The sequence below is a fragment of the Homo sapiens genome, chromosome 9 (assembly GCF_000001405.40).
Source record: "Homo sapiens chromosome 9, GRCh38.p14 Primary Assembly".
NCBI classification, from domain to species: domain Eukaryota; kingdom Metazoa; phylum Chordata; class Mammalia; order Primates; family Hominidae; genus Homo; species Homo sapiens.
Window position 1 is genome coordinate 63341751 of NC_000009.12, and position 27641 is coordinate 63369391.

The following is a 27641-nucleotide window of genomic DNA, read 5'->3' on the forward strand; positions in this document are numbered from 1 at the left end:
ATCACGATCTGTCCTGTCCTACCCTCTGCGGACTCTAAACCCCGCAGCAGTTCACCCAACAAATTCATTCACTCGGCCAATGCTGCATAAGGCACTCAGCTCGGGGCTACAGGAAGCCCCAACCTAAAGAAACTTTCTCTGCTTCAGGTAGTTTACAGCTGGTAGACGCAGATAGAAGTGAATTAGCAAAGAAAATAGTTTGATATAAAAATTGTGCATTTAACTGCAACCTTAATTCACTTCTGAGCATTTAATAGCCATTAAACAAAAACCAGGGCCCACACAGTGGTTCACACTTACAATCCAAGCACTTTTGGAAGCCAAGGTAGAAGGATTGCTTCAGGCCAGGAGTTCAAGACCAGCCTGGGCAACATAGCCAGACTGTGTCTCTACTTAAACCAAAATTAGCCAGGAGTCATGGTACACACCTGGAGTCCCAGCTACTCAGGAGGCTGAAATGGGAGGATTACTTGAGCCCAGGAGTTTGAGGCTACACTGGCCTATGATCATATCATTGCACTCCAGCCTGGGAGATAGAGTGAGACCTCTGTCTCTAAAAAAATGGAATAAAATAATAAAAAACACAATATAATTTAAAATCTTTGGAGTCACTAAACAAATATACAATGTGAATCTCCTCCCACTCCAGCTAACACTACCATATCCAACACCAGGTAAAGACCAAAGCCGTTCTGGGAAATCAGAATCTGTTGCCATGGCTCATGCCTGGACACCAGGCTGTCCGCTCCTGATGTCACTCTTTGACTTATGACTTGTTAGAAAATGAATGCGTGGAATGGCCCTGGAGGAGCCGCTGCAGCTCTCTGGGTTTCCTGAAGTGAGCCCTCTGTGTCATTATCTGGTCTTCTCAGCCCTCAGCCGAGTTCCTCCTGTGGCCACATGTGGGGTCGCAGTGAGCATCAGTGCACAGTGATAAAATCTGGAACAATAGGGTGTGGGGTGTGAGGAAAGGGAGTGGTGCCTGACTACAGAAGTTCCTGGAGGTCAGGAAACTCTCACTGGAGGCAGTGGCCCTAGAGGGCTGCTTTCTGTGACAGAGCAGGAAGCTGCATGTGTACTGGGACACATGCAGCAGAGGGGCCAGGATCTCCTAATAAGGACTGGTATTTACTTTTACTTGAACCCATTCTGGGCCTTACCACAGTGTGCTGAAATGCCTTGAACATTCATCACCCATGTGGGAGAAAGGATAGTAATTTCCTGCTGAGATGACTGAGGGGACAGGGAATGGGGACACCAGGGGGACTGGCTCCTGCAGGTGGGAAAATTCTAGCAAAACGAATCACTCTTCTGCTTAGTCACCCAATGTGCGCTTATTAGAGTGCTGCTGAAAAACATATTCGTCTATCCACTCCAGAAAGATAGTCCAAACTGAGACCTCAAGATCAGAAAGGCTCCCAATCTCCTGCAGGGTTCATTCATTTACTCAGTGAATTATTAAATGCCTACAGCACGCAGGGCCATCAGCCCAACGGCTATGAGAAAGAGATTCAGTCCTTTCCTCACAGGCCTTATGATAGACTCCAGTAAATAAAACAATACAGGCACAGAATGTGGCAGGCTTTATAAGAAAGCCTCTCTTGTTGTGTCCTCAAGGGAAGCAGAGAATCTCCCCTCTGGCTCTAGTTGGAGAATCCCAACCCAAGCAAGTCCATCTTTGAACAATAAACATCTCCAGTACTGCTGGCTTTGGAAGACCCCATGGTGAGATGCTGGAGCTTTTTTCCGCTCCTGATTTCACTTTCTAAATATTTACTTTTACTTTCCATGTTCACTTGTAGGCCAGATTTTTTTTTTTCCTACCATTGAATTATTTCATCATGTTCTATTTAATTATTGTTTTAATTGGCATTGGTGACCACAAATAATAATAAATACTATTAACTGATGTAACAGCTTCACTAGTCTATTTAACTTCCCCATGCTGTTGTAACTGAAGCACCCAGCACAAGCATTCCCAGCTCGTGGATGTCTAAGACCTTTGAGGTCATTCTTACATGCATTGCTAGTGTTTTCCATATTCCTTGATGGTAACCAATTTTTCCTTCCTAAAATAACTTTCTTCATTCCTAGTAAGCTTCATGTGTATTTTGTGTATTCTTCCCTCTTTTTTATGACATTATACATATTATTGAAAGCTAGAAAATAATACAAGATGCTTGACTGACATAATACCACTTAGTACCTCTTTTTGTAAGAAATAGATTTTCTAATACAAATCTTTGATATAGGAAGAAATGAGCAAGTGTTTTTTAAGGTTTTCCAACCCTATATTCTACTACAAATTACCCTGTTATGGTATGCTTCCAAAATTCTTTCAAGGATTACAGTTTATAGTGTTCAATAAACCTAATAGTTTATAAAACTTCTCAAAAAATAATCTCATGCCAAAAATAATTTAGTAGTAGGTGGTCTTTGTCTTGTGGTCACATTGTTTTGATATTGTCTTTAAGTTTCTGTAATTTACAAGGGCTGTTTAATCAGTTGGCATGAATTTCATGACAAAAATGCTAATATGTAAGCAAAGTATATGAAATGATATTTTTGAGAAGTAAATTACATTCCATATAGAAAAAGACTAGAAAGACTACACCAAAACCTTAAATTAGACAGTGATATTATGAGTAGCTTTTTTTCTTCTCTTTTTTGTATAGATCAAATTACTACGTTGGGTGTATATCACTTTTATAACATGAAAATACAGTAAATAGGGCGATGATAAACTGCAAGTGCTTGGGGAGAAGGCTTAACTCAGGCCAGTTGCAAGAGAGTGAGAACACACACACAGCCTGTGGGAGCGGGCTCCGTGCCATCACCTGGCCGGTCCTGGCTGTGTTGCTGTGTTTTTGCACCTCAAAAGTTGGGACAGCAAGGAAAGGCCATAAGAGCTAGAATGTTTCTATAAGAAGTGTATTCAGTATGATTTGTCTAGCTCTGACTAATGTGTGCAAACCCCAGATTCCACTAAGCAAATGCAAGATTGTTTTTCCCTGTTAATTTTTTCCTGGGCCCTTCTTGCTTACTGTGTTGGGCATTGGAGAGGGGGTGATTGACTTCTTTCTTCTCACAGTGTTTTCTCTCGCTCTCTCTTTTTTTTTTTTTTTTTTTTTTTGAGACAGAGTATTGCTCTGTCACCCAGGCTGGAGTGCAGTAGCATGATCTCAGCTCACTGCAACCTCCGCCTTCCAGGTTCAAGTGATACTCCTGCCTCAGCCTCCCAAGTAGCGTGGACTACAAGTGCATGCCACCATATCTGGCTCAATTTTTATTTTTCATAGAGACTGGGGTCTCACCATATTGGCCGGGCTGTTCTCAAACTCCTGACCTCAAGTAAGCCACCACGCCCAGCCATCTCTCACAGTGTTTTTTAAAGCAACAATGCATTTTCACAACAGTTGGCCTGGAGAGGTGTCCAACCAAGTTGGAATTCATAGCAGATATCCATTTGAAGTTAATTTTTGGTGTATTTGACTGTTTTCCATTGACTTCACATTGAGGCAGTGAGAGAGACTTGAAGAACTTAGAATATGAACCCTTTTCTCACTGGCAAACATGGGACATAGAGGCATGTCTTGACAGCAATTTATGGCAACACTCTGGGCTGGAATCTAGGGGTTAGGCAGCCTGGCCGGTTTTGTAAATTAGCCAGGCCACCCTCAGAGTCAGTTTGAGGGTTTAGTGGGAAGCCTGAATAAAAAGAGAAGTTAAACTTTTAAGAAAAGCGTCAAGCTTTAAAACTGGAATTGGCTTTTCAAATTTAATGAGTAAAAAGAAACCCCAAAACTGGAATTGTAATTGTGGAGAAGTACAAATTATAATATTTGGAATATCATCTACAAGGAACGAAACTATCCAGAAGCATTTAGATGGTAGTCATTGATTGTAGGGCATCTCTGGGGGCAGGGTGGCTCCTGGCACTGTAGAGAAAGACCATCGGTGCTTCCGTCTCCCAGTTGGAGGAAAGGGATACACTGTGGAGGTCCCAGCAGCTTAGGGCCTGCCCCCATGTGGTTATGTCTGCATGGTTTCCTTCCCTCTGTCTTCCTGTAACTCTTTCACCCTGGCCCCTGTGCCCTTTCTGGGCAGAGGGTGACAGGAGGCACTGCATGGGTGCATTCTTTTTTTTTTTTTTTGAGACAGAGTCTTACTCTGTTGCCTGGGCTGGAGTGCACTGGTGTGATCTCGGCTCACTGCAACCTCCATCTCCCAGGTTCAAGCGATTCTCCTGCCTCAGCTTCCCGAGTAGCTGGGATTACAGGTGGCCACCACTACGCCCAGCTAATTTTTTCCAATTTTAGTAGAGACGGGGTTTCACCACATTGTTCAGGCTGGTCTCAAACTCCTGACCTCGTGATTCACCCGCCTCAACCTCCCAACGTGCTGGGATTACAGGTGTGAGCCACCGCCCCCGGCCAAGTACATGCTTTTTTTCCTCTTGTTGGGATTGGCCTGGGCTATACCTATCTCATGGTGGAAGCCTGCCTAGGGACCAGGCCCTAGAAGACCAGCAGTTTATTTAACTGGGTTGGCCTTTGTCCCCACTCCCTGTGACCCGGCCCTGCCATATCTTTACCCAGGTGCACCACTGATATCATGGCTCGGCTGGACTCTGGAAAGCAGGAAATTGCTGGAGCATGTTTGGGCATCAGTGATGTCACCCGCTACGAATGCCGGGTGGGGTTACTGGACTGAGGGCCATGAAAAAAGAAAGCTGCGGCCCTGCCCCATGGACTCACTGCCATTCTGTTCTTTCTCACATTTCAGTTCAGCTCACTTTGTTTTCCGTCCCCCTCCCTCTACTGTAAAAGTATGTACTCAGTGTTTCATTTCCTGCCGGATCTGATTCAGGTCAGTGATGAAGTTCTTTGCAAGCTCAGTGGGGAGGCGTTTCCTCCCTTTCATACCGGCCCTGCTTAGGGATGCATGGTTGGTTATATACTTGCTTCACTCGGTTAGGCATGGAGGAGAATTCATTCAGACCTCATAGGTTTAAATCAAATGCATGACCCTTCACATTTTCCAGAGATTTAGACAGTTACAGTGAGACAATTAAACATTCACCCCACAAGCTGCACTTGGAGATGTGTAAGCAGTAATGTAGTCATGCGCTCCCCATGATATGAGAGTGTGCAGAATGCCACTCCCCACAGCAGGTCCACGAGGACCTCCTCAGGGAGCATCTTGCCTACAAAATCACCCATCCCTTTTCCCCCACTTTCTTCACTTTCCCTACGTTTCCACTCCCACACCCACAAATAAACAAAGAAACTTTGAGCTTATTTTACAAAAGTCTTTGAAATGGCCTTCCTCTCTCCGATGCTCCTGGGCCCTGGTTTGGCCCCATCTGTGCAGTCTCTCTGATGAGTGTGAAATAAGCCAGGTTTGGCTCATGCTCTCCCTGTGAGCTTGCTCTCCCCGTGAGCCTGCCCTCTCCATCTGGCCTCACTTTGTTTGTGTCCCTGGGTCCTTTGTCTCTGATCCTGGGATCCTGGTGGTTTCCTCCTCCCCGCCCAGCTTGGGTCCTTTTCCCCAGGGTTCTTCCCTATCTCTACATCAGAATTTCCTGCTTTCTCCCAAATATGCATTTCCCTGGCCCAGGCATCCATTGCTTCCTCTCATCGTGAGGTCCCTGCAGCAGACTGCCAATGGTGTTGTGGCCATGCCTTCCTCCACAACCCAGGGAAAGCTACATGTGTGTCTGTCCCATAGGGAAGGAGTCATCCCTGTCTCTTCAGTGTGGCATGTTCAGGAGGAAGGAAAGTAACCAGCGTCATTCTCAATTTCTGGAAACTGTTTATCATATTGACAAGAGGAAGAAAGCTTTGCGACTCATGAGAATGATGTTTTCCTCTCTGGTACATAAGGTTATGTAGGTCCAATCCATTGTGTAGAAGATCTTTTCTCCCTTAATGGGATGTACACTTATTTTTAGCACAAGTATAAAACTACTTTAAATGAAATCAGCCTCAGCCAGGGAAATATGCTGAGTAATAATGTTGCCAGGTACTATACCACTGAGTTGAGTTTGCAATTCACTGCTATTAATCCCTGCATGTTAGTTCTGAATTTTTACTCTTTGCATACGTAGAAAAATGGTGTTTCTCTTCAGAGTCAAGGAGGGAAAAAAGAAAAGTTAAAAGACGCTTATAACACTTTTGTGTCCACCCCTAAAATCAGCATATTGATCTACTATTTTTCTAGGTATTGATGGAATATTGACTCATATACTTTCATACAACTGCTAATATATATATATATATATAGACTCATTTTTCTTCTTCCACTTTCATCTACAGCCTACTTGTTTTTCTCCCCCCATTTTTCGTTTGGATTCATAGCATAAATTGACAACAAAGATACATCTCAATTTAGAGCTTCCAAAAGGCACCCATAAAAGTATCTGGTGCTCATGGAATTTCTCTTTCTTCTGTGTCTCTTAGTTACACTTTTCTCTTATTACACTTTTCTATCCAGCCGTGGCTAAGAGGCATATAATCAGAAGCAGCTAAGCAATGTATGCAAGGGAAATAAAATGAACACAAACCAAAATAACCGGTTTTGTAAATTAGATAGCAAGGCCACCCTCAGAGTCAGTTTGAGGGTTTCGTGGGAAGCCTAAGAAATATAACTGATATAACTGATATATTATCAGTTATAAAAAAAGTTATAAGAAAAGGGTCAAGCTTTAAAACTGGAATTGGCTTTTCAAATTTAATGAGCAAAAAGAAACCCCAAAACTGGAATTGTAATTGTGGAGAAATAGAACTGATAATATCTGGAACTTGCAGCAGTTTACAGGCTTAACTATGTATGTGTTCCTTAAATTATCCACCCGCAGATATCAGATTACAATAAGTCCTCACTTAATGTCATTGATAGGTTCTTGGAAACTACCACTTTAAGCAAAAGGACATAATGCATATGAAACCAGTTTTCCCATAGTCTAATTGATAGGAAAAAGAGTTGAGTTATGAAGCCACACAGTACCTCGTTTGGCTTAAAGTCACTGTTTCCAAGAACATATCCACAATGTTAAGTAAGGACTTACTGTAAATGAAAATATTTGCAGTAAATCGCTTTTGAGAGAATTGGTTATCACACTCTTCTCTGGGTATCACTGAAAATTCAGAATGTTTAGTTACATCAGGCTATACTCACTGGTATGAAATCAGGGAGCAAGTATAAAGTAGGTGTAGGGAAATAATTTATGTTGGATTAAATGATCCAATGAAGGAATTTTATTAAGCCCCTAGAAATCCCAGAATGAAAATGTATAACTGCATGACTAACCCCTGTAAGAATTTGCTGGGGTTTCTGCATTAAGTACGCTTCCCAGGCCATTTGTAATGAAGCTACCGTGATCTGTTAAGGAAGAGACCTACACCTGGGAACATAAACAGCCAATTCCATCCTGGACATCAGTCTCCTGTTTGACTCATTCCAACCCCAAGAATATGTTGTAGAGTGTAGGACCCATGAAAGTTACCTACAGTGCTTCCCTGTACCTTCCATCATCCAGTTCCCAAACATACCTGTGTTTCTTCTCTGAATGCATAGTTACTTGGGATCCCATGTTGTATTAGTCTGTTCTCACACTGCTGTAAAGAACTACTTGAGAGTGGATAGTTTATAAAGAAACAAGGTTTAATTGACTCAGTTTTGCAGGCTATACAAGAGGCATGGCTGGGGAGGCCTCAGGAAACTTACAATCATGGGGAAGGCAAAGGGGAAGCAAGTACATATTCACATGGCGGCAGGAGAGAGAGTGAAGGGGCAGTGCCACACACTTTTAAACAACCAGATCTCAGAACTCACTAGCACGAGAACAACAAGGGGGAAATTCACCCCCATGATCCAGTCACCTCCCACCAGGCCCCTCCTCCAACACTGAAGCTCATAATTCATCATGAGATTTGGCTGGGGACACAGCACCAAACCATATCATATGCCTTTCCCAGGACTGGTGTTGGAGGAACAGTGCCTTTGTCACACCTACCAGAATATACTCACCCACCTCCAGACACTCCATTTCTCTTTCAAGCACACCTCCTCACTTGTGCTGCCAGCTAAGGTTTACTGCAGTTACTTCCTTTGTGTGTCCTCTTACCTTACCAAGTCGCCTCACCCACCACCTACTGTTAATTAAATTACCACCTCCCCCACTTCCCCACCTCCAGAGTAGAGACTGTGTCTTCAGTTCTCTTGGCCTTCCCACAATGGGAAGTCTGGTGTGGAACATACCCTAGGAGCCAATTAAATGTGGTAGTGGCCTGCCAACCCTGCAGAGGGCTAGCAAATCTTCAGGGAGTCTGCTGCCGGTGGAAACTCACCAGTACTAGAATCCCAGGCTCCAAAGAAGTCTAGAAAAGTACGTCTTTTAAGGAGCTAATAAGAGGCTCAAGTTTCCACAAATACTATCTGCTCTTGGCCTAGTTCTTTTGGGATCAGTGTGCTAGTCTCTCTTGTCAAACTAGTTACTGACCAGCAAGACTAAAAAACCAGGCCCAAACACATTCTATTCATGTGCTTAGATATAAACCTATGGATCAAATATCCCACTGTAAAGCAAAAAAGCAAACTGTTTTTCCCTTGTACTCTCACACTCAACAACAGCACACTTCTGTGGCTGGCTGTGTGGGGGCTTTTCCTTACACACCAAACATTTCTCACAGAGACCAACTGGGTGTCCTCTTATTCAATTCAATCCTGACACTGTCTACCTGCAGATAGTGTCCAATCCCACAGATTGACGGCTCGATCCCATGAGACCAGCCCCACTTCAGGCACTAATTCCAAGTCCAGGCGACGCATACTTCTGACTGCCTGGCTAAAAACTACATCCACGGCCGGTCATGGTGGTTCACGCCTGTAATCCCAGCACTTTGGGAGACCAAGGCGGGTGGATCACTTGAGATCAGGGGTTTGAGACCAGCCTGGCCAACATGGTGAAACCCCGTCTCTATTAAAAATACAAAAATTAAGCTGGGCACAGTGGCTCACACCAGTAATCCCAGCACTTTGGGAGGCCGGGGCAGGTGGATCACGAGGTCAGATCAAGACCATCCTGGCTAACACGGTGAAACCCCATCTCTACTAAAAATACAAATAAAAATTAGCCAGGCATGGTGGCAGACGCCTGTAGTCCCAGCTACTTGGAAGGCTGAGGCAGGAGAACGGCCTGAACCCATGAGGTGGAGCTTGCAGTGAGCAGAGATCATGTCACTGCACTCCAGCCTGGGTGAGAGAGCGATGCTCCATCTCAAAAAAATAAATAAATGAAATAAAATACAAAAATTAGCTGGGTGTGGTGGCGGGCTCCTATAAGCCTAGCTACCAGGGAGGCTAAGGCAGGAGAATCGCTTGAACCCGGGAGGCAGAGGTTGCAGTGAGTTGAGATCCTGCAACTGCACTCCAGCCTGGGAGACAGAATGAGACACCATCTCAAAAAAAAAAAAAAAAAAAAAAAGGGTTCGCATGAGCCCCCTCCCTGGGTTCAATTAAGTTCCTAGGATGGCTCACAGAACTCAGAGAAACATTTACAGAGCTGTTATGATATATATTGATTTTCATTGATGAACATTGATGCAAAAATCCTCAATAAAATACTGGCAAAACAAATCCAGCAGCACATCAAAAAGCTTATCCACCATGATCAAGTGGGCTTCATCCCTGGGATGCAAGGCTGGTTCAATATATGCAAATCAATAAATGTAATCCAGCATATAAACAGAACCAAAGACAAAAACCACATGATTATCTCAATGGATGTAGAAAAGGCCTTTGACAAAATTCAACAACCCTTCATGCTAAAAACTCTCAATAAGTTAGGTATTGATGGGACATATTTCAAAATAATAAGAGCTATCTATGACAAACCCACAGCCAATATCATACTGAATGGGCAAAAACTGGAAGCATTCCCTTTGAAAACTGGCACAAGACAGGGATGTCCTCTCTTACCACTCTTATTCAACATAGTGATGGAAGTTCTGGCCAGGGCAATCAGGCAGGAGAAGGAAATAAAGGGTATTCAATTAGGAAAAGAGGAAGTCAAATTGTCCCTGTTTGCAGAAGACATGATTGTATATCTAGAAAATCCCATTGTCTCAGCCCAAAATCTCCTTAAGCTGATGAGCAACTTCAGCAAAGTCTCAGGATACAAAATCAATGTACAAAAATCACAAGCATTCTTATACACCACCAACAAACAAACAGAGAGCCAAATCATGAGTGAACTCCCATTCACAATTGCTTCAAAGAGAATAAAATACCTAATCCAACTTACAAGGGATGTGAAGGACCTCTTCAAGGAGAACTGCAAACCACTGCTCAAGGAAATAAAAGAGGATACAAACAAATGGAAGAACATTCCATGCTCATGGGTAGGAAGAATCAATCTCGTGAAAAAGGCCATACTGCCCAAGGTAATTTACACATTCAATGCCATACCCATCAAGCTACCAATGACTTTCTTCACAGAATTGGAAAAAACTACTTTAAAGTTCATATGGAACCAAAAAAGAGCCCACATCACCAAGTCAATCCTAAGCCAAAAGAACAACGCTGGAGGCATCACACTACCTGACTTCAAACTATACTACAAGGCTACAGTAACCAAAACAGCATGGTACTGGTACCAAAACAGATATATAGATCAATGGAACAGAACAGAGCCCTCAGAAATAACACCACATATCTACAACTATCTGATCTTTGACAAACCTGAGAAAAACAAGCAATGGGGAAAGGATTCCCTATTTAATAAATGGTTCTGGGAAAACTGGCTAGCCATATGTAGAAAGCTGAAACTGGATCCCTTCCTTACACCTTATACAAAAATCAATTCAAGATGGATTAAAGACTTAAAAGTTCAACCTAAAACCATAAAAACCCTAGAAGAAAACCTAGGCATTACCATTCAGGACATAGGCATGGGCAAGGACTTCATGTCTAAAACACCAAAAGCAATGGCAACAAAAGACAAAATTGACAAATGGGATCTAATTAAACTAAAGAGCTTCTGCACAGCAAAAGAAACTACCATCAGAGTGAACAGGCAACCTACAAAATGGGAGAAAATTTTCACAACCTACTCATCTGACAAAGGACTAATATCTAGAATCTACAATGAACTCAAACAAATTGACAAGAAAAAAACAAACAACCCCATCAAAAAGTGGGCGAAGGACATGAACAGACACTTCTCAAAAGAAGACATTTATGCAGCCAAAAAACACATGAAAAAATGCTCACCATCACTGGCCATCAGAGAAATGCAAATCAAAACCACAATGAGATACCATCTCACACCAGTTAGAATGGCAATCATTAAAAAGTCAGGAAACAACAGGTACTGGAGAGGATGTGGAGAAATAGGAACACTTTTACACTGTTGGTGGGACTGTAAACTAGTTCAACCACTGTGGAAGTCAGTGTGGCCATTCCTCAGGGATCTAGAACTAGAAATACCATTTGACCCAGCCATCCCATTACTGGCTATATGCCCAAAGGACTATAAATCATGCTGCTATAAAGACACATGCACACGTATGTTTATTGTGGCATTATTCACAATAGCAAAGACTTGGAACCAACCCAAATGTCCAACAATGATAGACTGGATTCAGAAAATGTGGCACATATACACCATGGAATACTATGCAGCCATAAAAAATGAGGAGTTCATGTCCTTTGTAGGGACATGGATGAAATTGGAAATCATCATTCTCAGCAAACTATCGCAAGAACAAAAAACCAAACACCGCATATTCTCACTCATAGGTGGGAATTGAACAATGAGAACACATGGACACAGGAAGGGGAACATCACACTCTGGGGACTGTTGTGGGGTGGGGGGAGGGGGGAGGGATAGCATTGGGAGATATTCCTAATGCTAGATGACGAGTTAGTGGGTGCAGTGCACCAGCATGGCACATGTATACATATGTAACTAACCTGCACATTGTGCACATGTACCCTAAAACTTAAAGTATAATAATAATAATAAAAAAATACATCACCAAAAAAATAAAGAGGGCATTATAAAATGCTCATGGAAAAAATATTATTTTAACAATTAGTAAAGTAAAATAAAAATTTGTGACTCATAAAGACACACTTCATTTTCATCCTCTATTTTTTTTTTTTACAAATGGGACTTGAATATTTTAAGATAAAATTTAAAAAATCAAGTAATTTTAATCAGAAATTTCAAAAAAATAAAACCCTGAATCCAATTCAAATTTCACTTACTTGGAAATTGTCACTGATATAAATTTATTTATATAAATGTGATATAACCAATAAAGATATGCAATAGAGTCATTGTTAATTTGGGTAAAAAATTTTAAAAACAATGCAAACTTGTATTACCTCCATATGTATGTATGTACACATGTACACATATATGAATATTTATATATTTGCATACACACACCATATATGTACCTGTGTATAAATGAATAACAATGGAATATCAGTTGGCCTCTACTACAACATTTGAAGGCCCATTGCACAATGGCCAGAACAGAGACGACATCAGAATGCAACTTAAAATTTCCAAGATGACTTGAATTATATCTGAATTTCTAACAGGACATAGAGAAATTAAAATCTTGTTTGATTATGCTTCTTTGTTTATTACTGGGAGAGCCTCACACGCAAAGCAGATCAGGATATTCTCTTACCAAATGTGTTAATTAACAGTCAGTTCATAATGTAAGGGTGACTCAAATAGCAGATTCAATATCAAACAGGAAGGGCTTTTGTAGCCCGTTCTATTTTCGGTCAACCACAAACCACCCACTCCTGCTGAAATAAAAACTTAAAAGGCAGGTGGAGGAAAATATGTTCTAGACCAAGGGGTAGGTTCCGGGTCTGCAAAAGACATAGTGTGCCACCCACAAACACACAACTTCAAGGAGCGTGGCTCAATCCTTCAGAAAATTGGTTCTAACTTTCAAATCATTAGGGATCTTCTTTATGAAAGATATAGCAAACAAAAACACAAAATATACCCCTCTAAGATTATTAGGAAGTTAAAAAAAAGTGACTTGTAACTTTTAATAAATAACTAGGGAGGTAAGCTTGTTCATTTCTGAGATTCACAACTTTTATAAAGGTGCTGTATTAATACTTGAATTGTGCTATGTTCAATAGAAGCAGAGACATAAGCCATACTGAGAGAAGAAAAAAATTTTACAAGAAAATCTAATGCTGTTTAATTTCTTTAAATATTTATTAATTTCTGAATGCTATGTGATTGCTTTTATATTAATTTTTCAGTAGAGAAATTGAATACAATTGAATACAATTGCTCAGTTGAGAAATTAAATACAATGGATTTTAGTGTGATGACATACTTGATGGGATAATTTTAAAATCATGATTTTAATTAGATATAATACTTTTAGGTAGAATAATAAAAATAAAGGAAAACCGATTTTCTTTAAATTCCGTCAATTATTTCTTTCTCACAATAATTAATATGTAACTTACCAATGATGTAGTAGATTAATACCAAATTCTCTTACTTTTGGTTTCATCAAAAAATGATGAGCATTTTTCTCTGATTGATGATCAGTTACTTTCAGATGGCTTGTAATCTTGTACTTTCAACATTAAAGATTTTTTTTCACATATTGATACCAATCATTTTATGATACATCTGATTTTATAATTATGTACATTGCTTTCAAATGAGAGTTATGGTTGTATACAGTAAGAATTACAATAGAGGAAGTTATCTGGTGCTCCAGGAATTTAAATAAGAGAAGATATAAAGATCTCAGCCTTTGTATCAATATTTTAATTGGATCCTGAAAAATGAATGGAGATAGACAGAAAACAAGTAAAAAATGGTCTAAGCAGATGGAATAGAAGGAGTAAAAGGAGAGTGATAGAAAAGTGTGTGTGTCTTTGAAGGAAGATAACCTGTTCTGGGTGTGGCTACAGCACAGGTTTGTGAAGGAAAATGTTAAATGATTGAGGAGAATGTCTCTCAATATCAGTGATTTTGTATTTTACCCTTCAATGATGGGACATAAGTAAACAATTTTTAAAAGCATAGTGGGTGTGTGTGTATATAAATATATAGTATATATAGTATATAGAATGTCTATACTTATACTATATACATACATATAGTGTATATGTATATATGTATATATAGTATATATATATACTTATTTTCATTCTAGATAGAAGTTTTTGAGATGCAGTTAGAAGAAAAAGTCAGAAAGAACAGTCAAGATTATTCCAGCAGTACAGGCATGATGTGATGAATGACTAAATTAAAACATTAGCAGCAACACAGAAGAGAAATGGCAGAATAGAAAGGTAATTCAAGGTAGAAACAGCTGAACTTAATAATTCATTTAGAAGGAAGAGTCAAGGTATAAATACTCTAAATTTTCTTGGCGACTGGCTTGATATTATCATCATTAGCTGAGATGGGCAATGCTTTAAAAGAAATAGATTTATTTGCCAAAATATAAAATGTGTTTATGGCTATGTCAAATTTGAGATGCAGGTGGTGAAGACAGAGGGGGAGAATCAGTTGATATTTTAAAATATAGGTTTGAAACCTACAGGAAAATATTGGAGTAAAAAAAAATAAAGAAAATCAAACGTCAAAGGAAATGCTGGAAGTGTGGGAATGGATAAAAGGAGCACAGGAAAAGTGTGCAGAGCATTGTTACCCAAAGTGCTGTGGGAATTTTATACACATATGAATACAACTCGCAAAACACACAAATATTTTTGCTTCCCTGGATCATTTACTGGAGTCTTTTACATACACATTCTGAAGTATAAGGTATGCAGAATTTTCTAAGCGTATCATACAATTCCATTCCAAGAATACATTTCAGGAAAACTACTGTCAATCAGGGAAACATTGGTGCAGAATAGTAAGAAAAGAAATACCCATTAAGACTAGTAGTTACACAGTGGACATGAAAAAACTAGGCAGCAAGGAGTTATTAAAAAGAAAGCATGGGCTGGGCATTGTGGCTCATGCCTATAATCCCAGCACTTTGGGAGGCCGAGGCGGGCGGATCACCTGAGGTTGGGAGTTTGAGACCAGCCTGACCAACATGAAGAAACCCCATCTCTAGTAAAAATACAAAATTAGCTGGGCATGGTGGCACATGCTTGTAATCGCAGCTACTCGGGAGGCTGAGGCAGGAGAGTCTCTTGAAACTGGGAGGCGGAGGTTGCAGTGAGCTGAGATCACACTGTTGCACTCCAGCCTGGGTGAAAAGAGGGAAACTTCATCTCAAAAAAAAAAAAAAAAAAAAAAAGAAAAAAGAAAAAAGAAAAAAATGAAAGCATGGGGCCAACATTGAGTGGTCTTAAGGAAGTCAGGGTAGAAGGAAATTTAAAGAAGGAAATGAGAAGCAATGCAGAATGTTTAGAAAGTCAACTAGGAAGCTCCCATAAATATTCTCACTATGTATTATAGGGAATTCATTTATAACTTCAAAAATACCACTCAAAAAAGATGGTAATTGTTGAAATGAGATTTCAATGGGTGAAAGAGGCTGGGCACAGTGGCTCATGCCTGTAATCCCAGCACTTTGGGAGGCCGAGGTGGATGGATCACGACATCAGCAGTTCAAGACCAGCCTGGCCAAGATGTGAAACCCCATCTCTACTAAAAATACAAAAATTAAACGGGCATGGTGTTGGGCACCTGTAATCCTAGCTACTTGAGAGGCTGAGACAGGAGAATCGCTTGAACCCAGGAGGTGGAGGTCGCAGTGAGCCGAGATGATGCCACTGCACTCCAGCCTGGGTGACAGAGCAAGAGAAAGAAAAGAGAAAAGAAAAGAGGAGAGAAGAAAGAAAAGAACGACGGAAGGGATTTTAAAAAGAGATGAGAAGTCAGTATACTGTTTTGGAGGAAGTGTAATTTATGATTTTGGCTATAACTTGCTATGAATGGAAACAGCAACACACCACTGGATTTCAACTTTTGAGTGCTTAAGAAGGTGGAGATGGTGATTAAAATAATAATAATAATAATAATAATAATAATAATAATGCTAAGTGTGTAATAGTTGCTAAGTGTGTGGTGTCTGAACCCAGGATATCAGGATGTCTGGAACTGGGATTGAATCCCAGCTCTTCCACTTTCTGGTTATGTGAGTGACTGTAGGCAAATTACTTAATCTTTTAATGCTCCAGTTTCCCATATGTAAAATGAGAATTATAATAGTAAACTACTTCATGGCTTGTGAGGATGAAGTGCATGTAGAGTACTTAGTGAGTTCTCTTTGCGTATTATGTATTAGTTTCAAAATGCAGATTCTAGAGCCCTTAGATTCTCATTCAATAGGTATGAGGCAAGCACGGGCCAGGATTCTGCATTCTTTAAGGAGGTGTAATTTCCTATATCTGCTGTGACAAAGTGGTTCACATTAGGTCGCTTAAAATGAGATAAAGTTATTCTTTTACGGTTCAGAAAGCTAGAAATCTTAAATGAAGGAGTTAGCAGTGCTGCATTTTTCTCTGAATGACCTGGAAAAAAATCCTTTCTTGCTTCTTCTAGCACCGGGTGATCACTGAGCTTCATTGTCATTGCTTGGCTGGAGGATACCTCACTTTATTCTCTACCTCCATCCTCACATGGCCATCTCCTCCCTGCGTCTCTGTTTCCTCTTCCCTTCTTATGAGGATATCAACCATATTGAATTATGGCCCACTCTAATGCATTATGAGCTCATCTAGCATATCATAATTATACAGCATCTGCAAATAATTTGATTTCAAATTAAGTCATACTCACAGACATCAGGGGCTAGAACTCTAATATATATATTTTCTTTTTGAAGACACAATCTAACCCACAAAAGGAGGGGAGCCGCTTAAGATCATAAATAACTCAAGTAACAAGACTGTGTGTTTAAAATAGCATTTAAATTTCTCCAAATGGCAGACAGTTTAATTCAGATCAATACCAATCAGGAGATAAACAAGTGTTTGTCTCCTAATTGGCATTTACCTGAGATTAAAACATTATGGTAAAATACATTATCTTCAGTGATCTTTGGTTTAGGTGAGCATTCACAAGGCACACAGTTATTATCACTTGAGCCATCTCTCTCTAATAACTCTTTTCTAATCTGCTGGCCAACAATATCAGGTTCTTTCAAATCTCTGATTATCGGACCAAACCATAAGGTCCTCCACGTGAATTGGTAGAAATATTTTTTACAAAGGTAAATGAAATTTTATTTACTTGATGGATTTCTCTTCTCCTTTGTACAAAGGGGTGACCCTTTGACAGCACAGGGAAAGAACATGATAGAAATAGACTTTCAGAAGGAAGGGCCTTCCATAACAAGGAATGCCATCTGTAATCCAGACTTTTTTCTCCTCAGGAATCCAGTCATAGGCAAATCTCTATGAATCACAGATAAATAGAAAGAAGGGTGGGAGTGTGTCAGGAGTAGGATGCTGAAAATGTGAGTAGCCTGTTCATTAATTGGTCCCTTGGAAACTGAGAAGGCAACGTGGCATACATGCAATTTCCATGGAATGATGGAAGACTGGTTGTAGTTACTATGATCCTATAATGCTCAGATCACAACGGGGTCACCCTTATTCATGACTGAGCATTCCTTCTTATTAGTATCCCAATGTGAAATTGTTTCTCAAAAAAGGAGGGGGCGGGTAATTTTTGTACAAAAGGCTTTTACTCCAAAATAAAGTGGCTTGTACTGTATTTCTCCTCTGGAGCCTTGCCGCTGGCTCCATAGGAAAATTCTGCCTCTCATAGATACCTGAGGCATTGGATTCCCTAAACAAAATTGTAGATCCACTTGTACTGCAGGCCTCTGTAGTCCAAAACGTTTCTCTTTCTCTGAGTCCCACTCACAGCTGACATCCTTCTTGACATTTGCATTTTATTTAGAATACACATCCAAATATGTTTTATGTTGCCTCTAACATTCAAAAGAGCCTCTAACAGTCTTCCTTTCCCTATCCCTTCCTTCCATTTGAAAGATGTTTTCTCCACATCACTTTCTACTGCATTCTTAGACTCCCTGAAGGTAGGAAACCCACATTTTTGTCATTGGCTCGATGTGTCTTTCCTGAAGTCTATGGTAGCTGCTATTTTTCTCTAGAGCATATCAACCGGATGCTGTCCATGTATTCCATAAGTTATGTCCGTTTGGCTAGTGACATGGCCAGGGTTCCTGAGTACAAAATTGTGACACAGACAAAAATAGTTATACTTCTACAGCTACATAGTGAAGACACTGTGCCTGGAAAAAGTAAGAAATTTCAGGTATTTACCATTTATTTAAGATACAGAAAAATAATTTGCCTAAATGTATAGCAGGAAAAGGAGATAAGTGTATTCACTAAAGCAAGGAGACTACATCTGGATTTTAAATGTGTGCCCTCAGATAGGATTCCAGTACACAGTGGCTGGATTCTGAGTGTTTGTCCCTCACACAGGATTACAGAACACTGCTACGAGGTTCTGAATGGAAAAGGAAATATCTTCACATAAAGACAAGAAAGAAGCATTCTGAGAAACTTCTTTGTAATGTGTGCATTCACCTCACAGAGTTGAACTTTTCTTTTGATTTAGCACTTTTGAAATACTCTTTTTGTAGTGTCTGCAAGTGGATATTTGGAGTGCTTTACATTCTATGGTGGAAAAGTAAATATCTTCACATCAAAACCAGACAGAAGCATTCTGAGAAACTCCTCTGTCATCTATGCATTCATCTCACAGAGTTGAATGTTTCTCTTGATTGAGCAGTTCTGAAACACTGTTTTTGTAGAATCTGCAAGTGGATATTTTGAGTGCTTTGGGGCCTATGGTGGAAAAGGAAATATCTTCACATAAAAACTAGACAGAAACATTCTGAGAAACTTCTTTGTGATGTGTGCATTCAACTCACAGAGTTGAAATATTCTTTTGATTGAGCAGTTTTGAAACACTCTTTTTGTAGTATCTGCAAAGTTGGAGGGCTTTGGGAATTCTAGAGGAAAGGGAAATATCTTCTCTTAAAAACTAGACAGAAGCATTCTGAGAAACTTCTTTGTGATGTGTGCATTCATCTCACAGAGCTGAACATTTCTTTTGATTGAGCAGCTTTGAAACACTCTTTTTGTAGAATCTGCAAGTGGACATTGGGAGCGATTTGAGGCCTATGGAGGAAAAGGAAACATCTTCACATAAAAACTACACAAATGCCTTCTGAGAAACTTCTTTGTGATGTGTGCATTCATCTCACAGAATTGAACCTTTCTTTTGATCGAACAGTTTTGAAACACTTCCTTTGAAGGATCTGCATGTGGATATTTGGATCAGTTTGGGGCCTGTGGTGGAAAAGGAAATATCTTCAAATAAAAACTACACAGAAGCATTCAGACAAACTTCTTTGCGATGTGTGCATTCAACTCACAGAGTTGAAAATATCTTTTGATTCAGCAGTTTTGAATCTCTCTTTTTGCAGAATCTGCAGGTGGATATTTGGAGCCCTTTGAGGACTACTGTGGAAAAGCAAATATCCTCACATAAAAATTAACAGAAGCATTCTGTGAAACTACTTCGTGACGTGTGAATTCATCTCACAGGGATGAATTTATCTCATGAGTGAGCAGTTTTGAAACACTCTTTTTGTAGAATATGGAAGTGGATATTTGGAGCCCACTGAGGCCCACAGTGGTAAGGAAATATCTTCTCATAAAAACAACACAGAAGGATTCTGAGAAACTTCTTTGTGATGTGTGCATTCATCTCACAGGGTTGAAACTTTCTTTTCATTGAGCAGTTTTGAAACACCGTTTTTGTAGAATCTTCAAGTGGATATTTGGAGAACTTTGCCGCCTATTGTGGAAAAGGAAACATCTTCACATAAAAACTACTCAGAAGCATTCTGAGAAACTTCTTTGTGATGTGGGCATTCAACTCACAGAGTTGAACCTATCTGTTGATTGAGCAGTTTAGAGTTTCTCTTTTTCTAGCATCTGCAAGATGATATTTGGAGCCCAATGCGCCCTATGGTGGAAAAGGAAATATCTTCAATAAAAACTGCACAGAAACATTCCAAGAAACTTCTTCGTGATGTGTACATTCAAATCACTGAGTTGAACTTATCTTCTCAATGAGCAGTTTTGAATCTCTGGTTTTGTAGAATCTACAAGTGGATATTTGGAGCCATTTGTGCCCTATGGTGGAAAAGGAATTATCTTTAAATAAAACTACACAGAACCATTCAGACAAACTTCTTTGTGATGTATGCATTCAACTCACAAAGATGAACCTATCTTTTGATTGGGCAGTTTAGAATCTCTCTTTTGAAGAAACTGCAAGTGGATATTTGGAGCCCTTTGCGCTCTGTGTTGGAAAAGGAAATATCTTTAAATAAAAACAACACAGAAGTAGTCAGAGAAACTTCTTTGTGCTGTCTGCATTAAACTCAGAGAGTTGAAACTTCCTTTTGGTAGAGCAGTTTTGAAACACTCTTTTTGTAGAATCTGCAGGTGGATATTTGGAGCGCTTTGAGACCTATGGTAGAAAAGGAAATATGTTCATACAGAAACTAGATAGAAGCATTCACAGAAACTACTTTGTGATGTGTGCATTCAACTCAAAGAGTTCAACATTCCTTTAGTCAGAGCAGTTTTGCAGCACTCTTTTTGTAGAATCTGCAAGTGGATACTTGGACTGCTCTGAGGCCTATGTTGGAAAAGGAAATATCATCACACAAAAACTAGACAGAAGCATTCTCAGAAACTTCTTTGTGATTTGTGCATTCAACTCATGGAGTTCACCATTGCTCTTGACAGAACAGTTTTGAAACACTCTTTTTGTAGAATCTGCAAGTGGATATTTGGAGTGCTTTGAGGTCTTCGGTGGAAACGGGAATACCTTCACATAAACACTAGACAGAAGCATTCTCAGAAACTTCTTTGTGATGTGTGCATTCAATTCACAGAGTTGAACCTTCTTTTCGATAGAGCAGTTTTGAGACACTGTTTTTGTATAATCTGCAAGTGGACATTTGGATCGCTCTTAGGCCTACGGTGGAAATGGAAATATTTTTAGATAAAAACCAGAAAGAAGAATTCTCGGAAACTTCTTTGTGATGTGTGCATTCAACTCAGAGAGTTGAACCTTTCTTTTGATAGAGCAGGTTTGAAATACTTTTTTGTAGAATCTGCAAGTGGACATTTGCAGCGCTTTGAGGCCAATGGTAGAAAAGGAAATAACTTCACATAAAAACTAGACAGAAGCATTCTCAGAAACTTCTTTGTGATGTTTGCATTCAACTCACAGATTTGAACATACCTTATCGAGCAGTTTTGAAACACTCTTTTAGTAGACTTCGTAAGGGGATATTTGGACCGCTCTGAGGCCTTCACTGGAAACAGGAATACCTTCACATAAAGACTAGACAGAAGCATTCTCTGAAACCTCTTAGTGATGTGTGCATTCAACTCACAGAGTTGAATTTTTCTTTTGATAGAGCAGGTTTGAAACACTCTTTTTGTAGAATCTGCAAGTGGATATTTGGATAGCTTTGAGGATTTCGTTGGAAACGGGAATATCTTCAATTAAAAACTATACAGAAGCATTCTCAGAAACTTCTTTGTGATGTGTGCATTCAACTCACAGAGTTGAATCTTTCTTTTGATAGAGCAGATTGGAACCACTTTTGTTGTAGTATTTGCAAGTGGATGTTTGGACAGCTTTGAGGCCTTCGTTGGAAACGGGTATCCCTTCACATAAAAACTACACAGAAGCATTCTCAGAAACTTCTTTGTGGTGCTTGCAATCAACTCACTGAGTTGAACATTCCTTTTCATAGAGTAGTTTTGAAACACTTTTTTTGTAGAATCTGTAAGTGGAAACTTGGAGCGCTTTGAGGCCTATGGTGAAAAACGAAATATCTTCCCATAAAAACTAGACAGAAGAACTCTCAGAAACTTCTTTGTGATGTGTGTACTCAATTAACAGAGTTGAACTTTTCTTTTGATAGAGCTGTTTTGAAACACACTTTTTGTAAAATCTGCAAGTGCATATTTGGATATCTTTGAGGATTTCATTGGAAACGGGATTATCTTCACATAAAAACCAGACAGAAGCATTCTCAGAAACCACTTTGTGATGTTTGCATTCAACTCTCAGAGTTGAACATTCCTTTTCATACAGAAGTTCTGAAACACTCTTTTTTTTGTATCTGGTAGTGGACATTTGGAGCGCTTTGAGGCCTATGGTAAAAAACGAAATATCCTCACATAAAAATGAGACAGAAGCATTCTCAGAAACTTCTTTGTCATGTGTGTACTCAACTCACAGAGTTTAACCTTTCTTTTGATACAGCACGTTTGAAACACTCCTTTTTAGAATCTGCAAGTGGATATTTAGATAGCTTTGAGGCTTTCGTTGTAAAGGGGAATATCTTCACGTAAAAACTAGACAGAAGCATTCTCAGAAACTTCTTTGTTATCTTTGCATTCCACTCACAGAGTTGAACATTCCCTTTCATAGAGCAGTTTTGAAACTCTCTTTTTGTGAAATCTGCATGTGGACATTTGGAGCGATTTGAGACCTATGGTGAAAAACGAAATATCTTCACCTAAAAAGTGGACGGAAGGATTCTCAGAAACTACTTTGTGACGTGTTTACTCAACTTACAGAGTTAAACCTTTCCTTTGAAAAGGCAGTTTTGAAAAACTGTTTTTGTAGACTTTACCAGTGGATATTAGGACAGCTTTGAGTATTTCATTGGAAACGGGAATAACTTCACATAGAAACTAGAGAGAAGCATTCTCAGAAACTTCTTTGTGATGCTTGCATTCAACTCACTGAGTTGAACATTCCTTTTCATAGAGCAGTTTGGAAACACAATTTTTGTAGTATATGGAAGTGGAAACTTGGAGCGCTTTGAGGCCTATGGTGAGAAAGGAAATATCTTCCATAAAAACTAGACAGAAGAATTCTCAGAAACTTCTTTGTGATGTGTGTACTCAACTCACAGAGTTGAACTTTTCTTTTGATAGAGCAGTTTTGAAACACACTTTTTGTAGAATCTGCAAGTGGATATATGGATAGCTTTGAGGATTTTGTTGGAAACAGGAATATCTTCACATAAAAACAAGAGAGAAGCATTCTCAGAAACCTCTTTGTGATGTGTGTACTCAACTCACAGAGTTTAACATTTCTTTTGATACACCAGTTTGAAACAGTCTTTTTGTAGTATCTACAAGTGGATATTTGGATAGCTTGGCAGCTTTCATTGGAAACGGGAATATCTTCACATAAAAACTAGACAGAAGCATTCTCAGAAACTTCTTTTTGGTGCTTGCAATCAACTCAGTGAGTTGAATATTCCTTTTCACAGAGCAGTTTTAAGACACTCTTTTTGTCGAATCTGCAAATGGAAACTCGGAGGGCGTTGAGGACTATTGTGAAAAAGGAAATATCTTCCCATAAAAACTAGACAGAAGAATTCTCAGAATCTTCCTTGTGATGTGTGTACTGAACTCACAGAGTTGAACCTTTCCTTTGATACAGCAGTTTTGAAACACTCTTTTTGTAGAATCTGCAAGTGGATATTTGGATAGCTTTGAGGTTTTCGTTAGAAACGGGAATATCTTCAGATAAAATCTAGACAGAAGCATTATCAGAAACGTCTTTGTGATGTTTGCATTCAAGTCACAAAGTTGAACATTCGCTTTCATAGAGCAGGTTTGAAACACTCTTTTTGTAGTATCTGCAACTGGACATTTGGAGCGCTTTGTGGCCTATGGTGAAAAAGGAAATATCTTCCCATAAAAACTAGACAGAAGCATTCTCAGAAACTTGTTTGTGATGTGTGTACTCAACTGACAGAGTTGAACCTTTCTTTTGATAGAGCAGTTTTGAAACACTCTTTTTGTAGAATCTGCAAGTGGATATTTGGATAGCTTTGAGGATTTCATTGGAAACAGGAATATCTTCATATAAAATCTAGACAGAAGCATTCTCAGAAACATCTCTGTGATGTTTGCATTCAAGTCACAGAGTTGAACATTCCCTTTCACAGAGCAGGTTTGAAACACTCTTTTTGTAGTATCTGGAAGTGCACATTTGGAGCGCATTCAGGCCTAAGGTGAAAAAGGAAATATCTTCCCATAAAAACTAGACAGAAGCATTCTCAGAAACTTGTTTAGGATGTGTGTACTCAACTAACAGAGTTGAAACTTTCTTTTGATAGAGCAAAACAGTAAATTGAAGTTTAAAATAATTGTAACAATTGCATCTTATATATCAGGTGAGATTTCATAGTTTGGTTCAAGTAGTTTTCAAGTGACAAATTTTCAAGTTTTTAAGTTTTCAAGAGTTGTGCAAGTTCATCAGCCAGAAATCAAGCAAAAGGCTAGATAAGTAGCAGCAGGTGCAGGATTCTTGATATTGAAACTTTTAGGACTTTTCTCCTTCAGGATTCCAATGTTGTACATTTTATTTCCAGTATAACCCCTATGCATAGGATAAAGTAGTTTCACATGTTTGATTTTTCTAATTAGTTATTTGGGTTTCAAAATGTCCAGTTTATCAAAAAATCTTGTGCTGTGTACTGGGGACCATCTACTATAGCCTGATCATTGAATTTTTTCAAGAACCTAAGGGGTTCCCTAAGTCCAAGGAAGACAATCAGTGTCTACAAGTCAGGAGGAGAAGGGGAAAGGGCATTCTAATCATTGCTTTGTTTTCATTGATTCTGTTGCTGCTTTCTTGCCATTGAAACTACTCTTGCAGTCTGGTAATGATTAACCTTTGCCACCAGGATGCCCTTTCTGTTTGAGATCCCTCAAACTTCATGTTGATCCATAAAAAGGCTTCAAAGTTACAACTATTTTTTTTAGTTCCCAGACTAACAAAAATAATCTAGCTTTTTGTCTTGACTACCAACCACTCTGGATTTTTTTTTTTTTTTTTTTTGAGATGGAGTCTCGCCCTGTCGCCCAGGCTAGAGTGGAGTGGCGTGATCTTGGCTCACATAACCTCCACCTCCCAGGTTCAAGCAATTCTCCTATCTCAGCCTCCGAAGTATCTGGGACTATAGGCACACACCACCACGCCCGGCTAATTTTTGTATTTTCAGTAGAGATGGGGTTTCACCATGTTGGTCATGCTGCTCTTGAACTCCTGACCTCAGGTGATCCATCTGCCTTGGCCTCCCAAAGTGCTAGGATTACAGGCATGAGCCACCATGCCCGGCCCACTCTGGATTTAAGGACAGTTCTTCCTTCAATCAGCAGCCAAAGAGTCCTGATTCCTGATTCTAATTAAGAAGTTTAACTTGGTATTCTATTTCTGATGGAAGGATGGCTGAAAGAAGGGAGACTCAAACAACAGATGAAGGCAAAATACTCTGTACTGAATTTTCAATGTAATCTTAAATTCTATGTTTAATTGAGATGACCCAAATTCTTTTTTTTTTTTTTTTTTGATACGCAGTCTCGCTCTGTTGCCCAGGCTAAAGTGCAGTGGCATGATCTCGGCTCACTGCAACCTCCACCTCCCGGGTTCACACCATTCTCCTGCCTCAGCCTCCCAAGTAGCAGGGACTACAGGCACCCGCCGCCACACCTGGCTAACTTTTTGTATTTTTAGTGGAGACAGAGATGACCCAAATTCTTAACTGCCTCATAAATACTGTTAATATATTGAAAGTTTTGCCCTAGGCTTTTATTAAAGTCAACTATATAGAAAAAGTTTCTCCTATCTTGAGATGTATTATTAAAGACATCATCCCCAATAATATTCCATATTCTCTGTTTAGGAACCCCAATTGTTTTCAAATTCAAGAATTCAGAGAAATCTACTTGTTACAAAAGAGTAGAATGGATAATGGGCACCACATCCTGAAGTGTATTTTAATAAAAATTCATGTAAGATGGTTCAAAATTTCATTAACTACTTTATATAAAAAGAAATGCCTGGGAGAATTCTGTTTCTAGCAGAGTGGCAGACTGATGCCTTGAACAACCCTCCTATTACAAAACTGAATACTCCACATGAAAACAAATCTTTTCAAATGCATTGTTAAGCTGTGAAGAGAATAACGAAAGTTCTAAGAAACCAAAATCTAAATGAAAACACAAGTCCAGGCAGGCACTGAAAACCTAAAAAAAAAAAAAAAAAAAAAAAACTGAAGAGGCCAATTGTTGGCAAGCATGTGGAACAGCAGGAACTCTTCAAGCTGCTGCTGGTGGCGGAGGCCAAGCCACTGTGCTCCCAGAACACAACACAGAAGCCTCCACACTGAAGCAGAGCACAGGTGCCCTGGAGTCTCCACCCCACCCAGGGATCCTCCAGCAGAAGTGGGTGTGCCCCTGCATACCTGCAAGTCCCATATGCAGACTTACTGTTCAGGGCCGTGGGATAACAGCCAAAAATAGGAAATCATTTTACTCATCAATGGAAAAATGGTGACACAGTCATATAATGGAACTCAACAATGACGATAAATCAATGTCTGCCATAGACAAGAACATGGATGTGTTCTGTAATACTGAACCAAAGAAGCCAGGCTAAATAGAATGTGCTGTATTTTATAGAAGTCAAAACCAGGCAGAACAAATCTACATCAGGAACTGGGAAAGTAGCTATTTTGTGGGTTGGGGCAGCAGTGCCTGGGAGAGGCCACAGGTCAAGGCTACTGCTTGGTCCAGGGCGTGGCAGCCTGGTGTGCTACAGTTCATCTAGATGCACACTTATGATTCGGGCACTCTTCTGTATGTACATTAACATTTCAATAAAAAGCTTATTAAAACATTAAAGCTTTCAGAAAAATCCACATTGCTTTAGTAGAAATTAGCACATTAACGTTTAAAAAATACATGTATATGGTGGGGGGAAAAATAGTTCAAAAGAGTATCCAGTGAAAAGTTTAAGAGGGAGTGATGCCAGCTAAGGGCTGATCAATAGCCCCTTGCACTCATCCCCTGACAAAGACAGCCAAAGCAGCAAACAGCTATATTTTGATGAAAGTCACTAAAGGAGAGCCCCAGAGTGCATCAAGGAGTAGCAGAAATCCAGTAGAGCCCGGAAAACAGGACGGTCACGTAAAGGAGGGAAGGAAACATCTGGCCCCCACCACCCATTCCCCCAGAGGGATCAGCCTGAAGCAGAGGGGATGTCTCCCTGCAGGGATAAGGAAGCAAGAGGGGCCCAGTAGCCCCAGCACTCCCCTCAGAGAAGGAACTGACATTGTGCCCCACCCCCATGGACCAGCTGCTGCTGCAACGTGCCCTCCTGGACCTGGACCACTTCGGGAGCATGTCCCACCCAGGGTGAGCAGCCACCGCACCCTTCTTCCATCCTCAGGCTTTGTTGCTCTATATCACACCCACCTAGTGGCCCACCACCCCCGAGCCGCTGTTACACTGTCTTAGGCCATTTAGTGTGGCTGTAACAGAATACTTGAGACTCGGGGTAACTTATTCTATAAAAAAGGTTTATTTGGCTCACCCTGCTTGTGTCTGAAAAGTCCGAGATCAGGCAGCACAACTGGTGAGGGTCTTGTGCTGCTTCATCTCATGGGGAAAGTGGAAGACGAAACAGGTGTATGCAAGGGGCTCACATGGCAAGAGAGGAAACACA

At 40.0% G+C, this 27641-nt stretch overlaps 1 pseudogene across 5 annotated transcripts in view, besides 4 other annotated features; it reads left to right on the forward strand.

The window, feature by feature from the left end:
- The window catches only part of LOC100996643 (methylenetetrahydrofolate dehydrogenase (NADP+ dependent) 1 like pseudogene), a 45510-nt pseudogene that overhangs the window by 8413 nt on the left and 9456 nt on the right, over window positions 1-27641 (forward strand). For 3 of the 5 annotated variants that reach the window (NR_160666.1, NR_160667.1, NR_160668.1), the window contains one exon: window positions 4599-6436. The exons of 1 other annotated variant lie outside the window; for it this stretch is intronic. The product of NR_160666.1 is annotated as a methylenetetrahydrofolate dehydrogenase (NADP+ dependent) 1 like pseudogene, transcript variant 2 (transcript). Of the gene's footprint in view, window positions 1-4598; window positions 6437-25818; window positions 26188-27641 lie in introns of those variants that run through there. One more of the 5 variants, NR_160664.1, reaches the window with a different exon arrangement.
- Window positions 4567-4861: an enhancer, noted in NCBI's record as "tiled region #10095; HepG2 Activating DNase matched - State 5:Enh". NCBI's record gives its function as "activates a minimal TATA promoter and a strong SV40 promoter by Sharpr-MPRA in HepG2 cells {active_cell/tissue: HepG2}" and the evidence as "EXISTENCE:reporter gene assay evidence [ECO:0000049][PMID:27701403]".
- Window positions 21180-21712: an enhancer, noted in NCBI's record as "OCT4-NANOG hESC enhancer chr9:67317902-67318434 (GRCh37/hg19 assembly coordinates)". NCBI's record gives its function as "activates a minimal SCP1, AML or CMV promoter by ChIP-STARR-seq in primed H9 embryonic stem cells {active_cell/tissue: H9 hESC(primed)}" and the evidence as "EXISTENCE:reporter gene assay evidence [ECO:0000049][PMID:30033119]".
- Window positions 23397-23921: an enhancer, noted in NCBI's record as "OCT4-NANOG-H3K27ac-H3K4me1 hESC enhancer chr9:67320119-67320643 (GRCh37/hg19 assembly coordinates)". NCBI's record gives its function as "activates a minimal SCP1, AML or CMV promoter by ChIP-STARR-seq in naive H9 embryonic stem cells {active_cell/tissue: H9 hESC(naive)}" and the evidence as "EXISTENCE:reporter gene assay evidence [ECO:0000049][PMID:30033119]".
- Window positions 23922-24445: an enhancer, noted in NCBI's record as "OCT4-NANOG-H3K27ac-H3K4me1 hESC enhancer chr9:67320644-67321167 (GRCh37/hg19 assembly coordinates)". NCBI's record gives its function as "activates a minimal SCP1, AML or CMV promoter by ChIP-STARR-seq in naive and primed H9 embryonic stem cells {active_cell/tissue: H9 hESC(naive and primed)}" and the evidence as "EXISTENCE:reporter gene assay evidence [ECO:0000049][PMID:30033119]".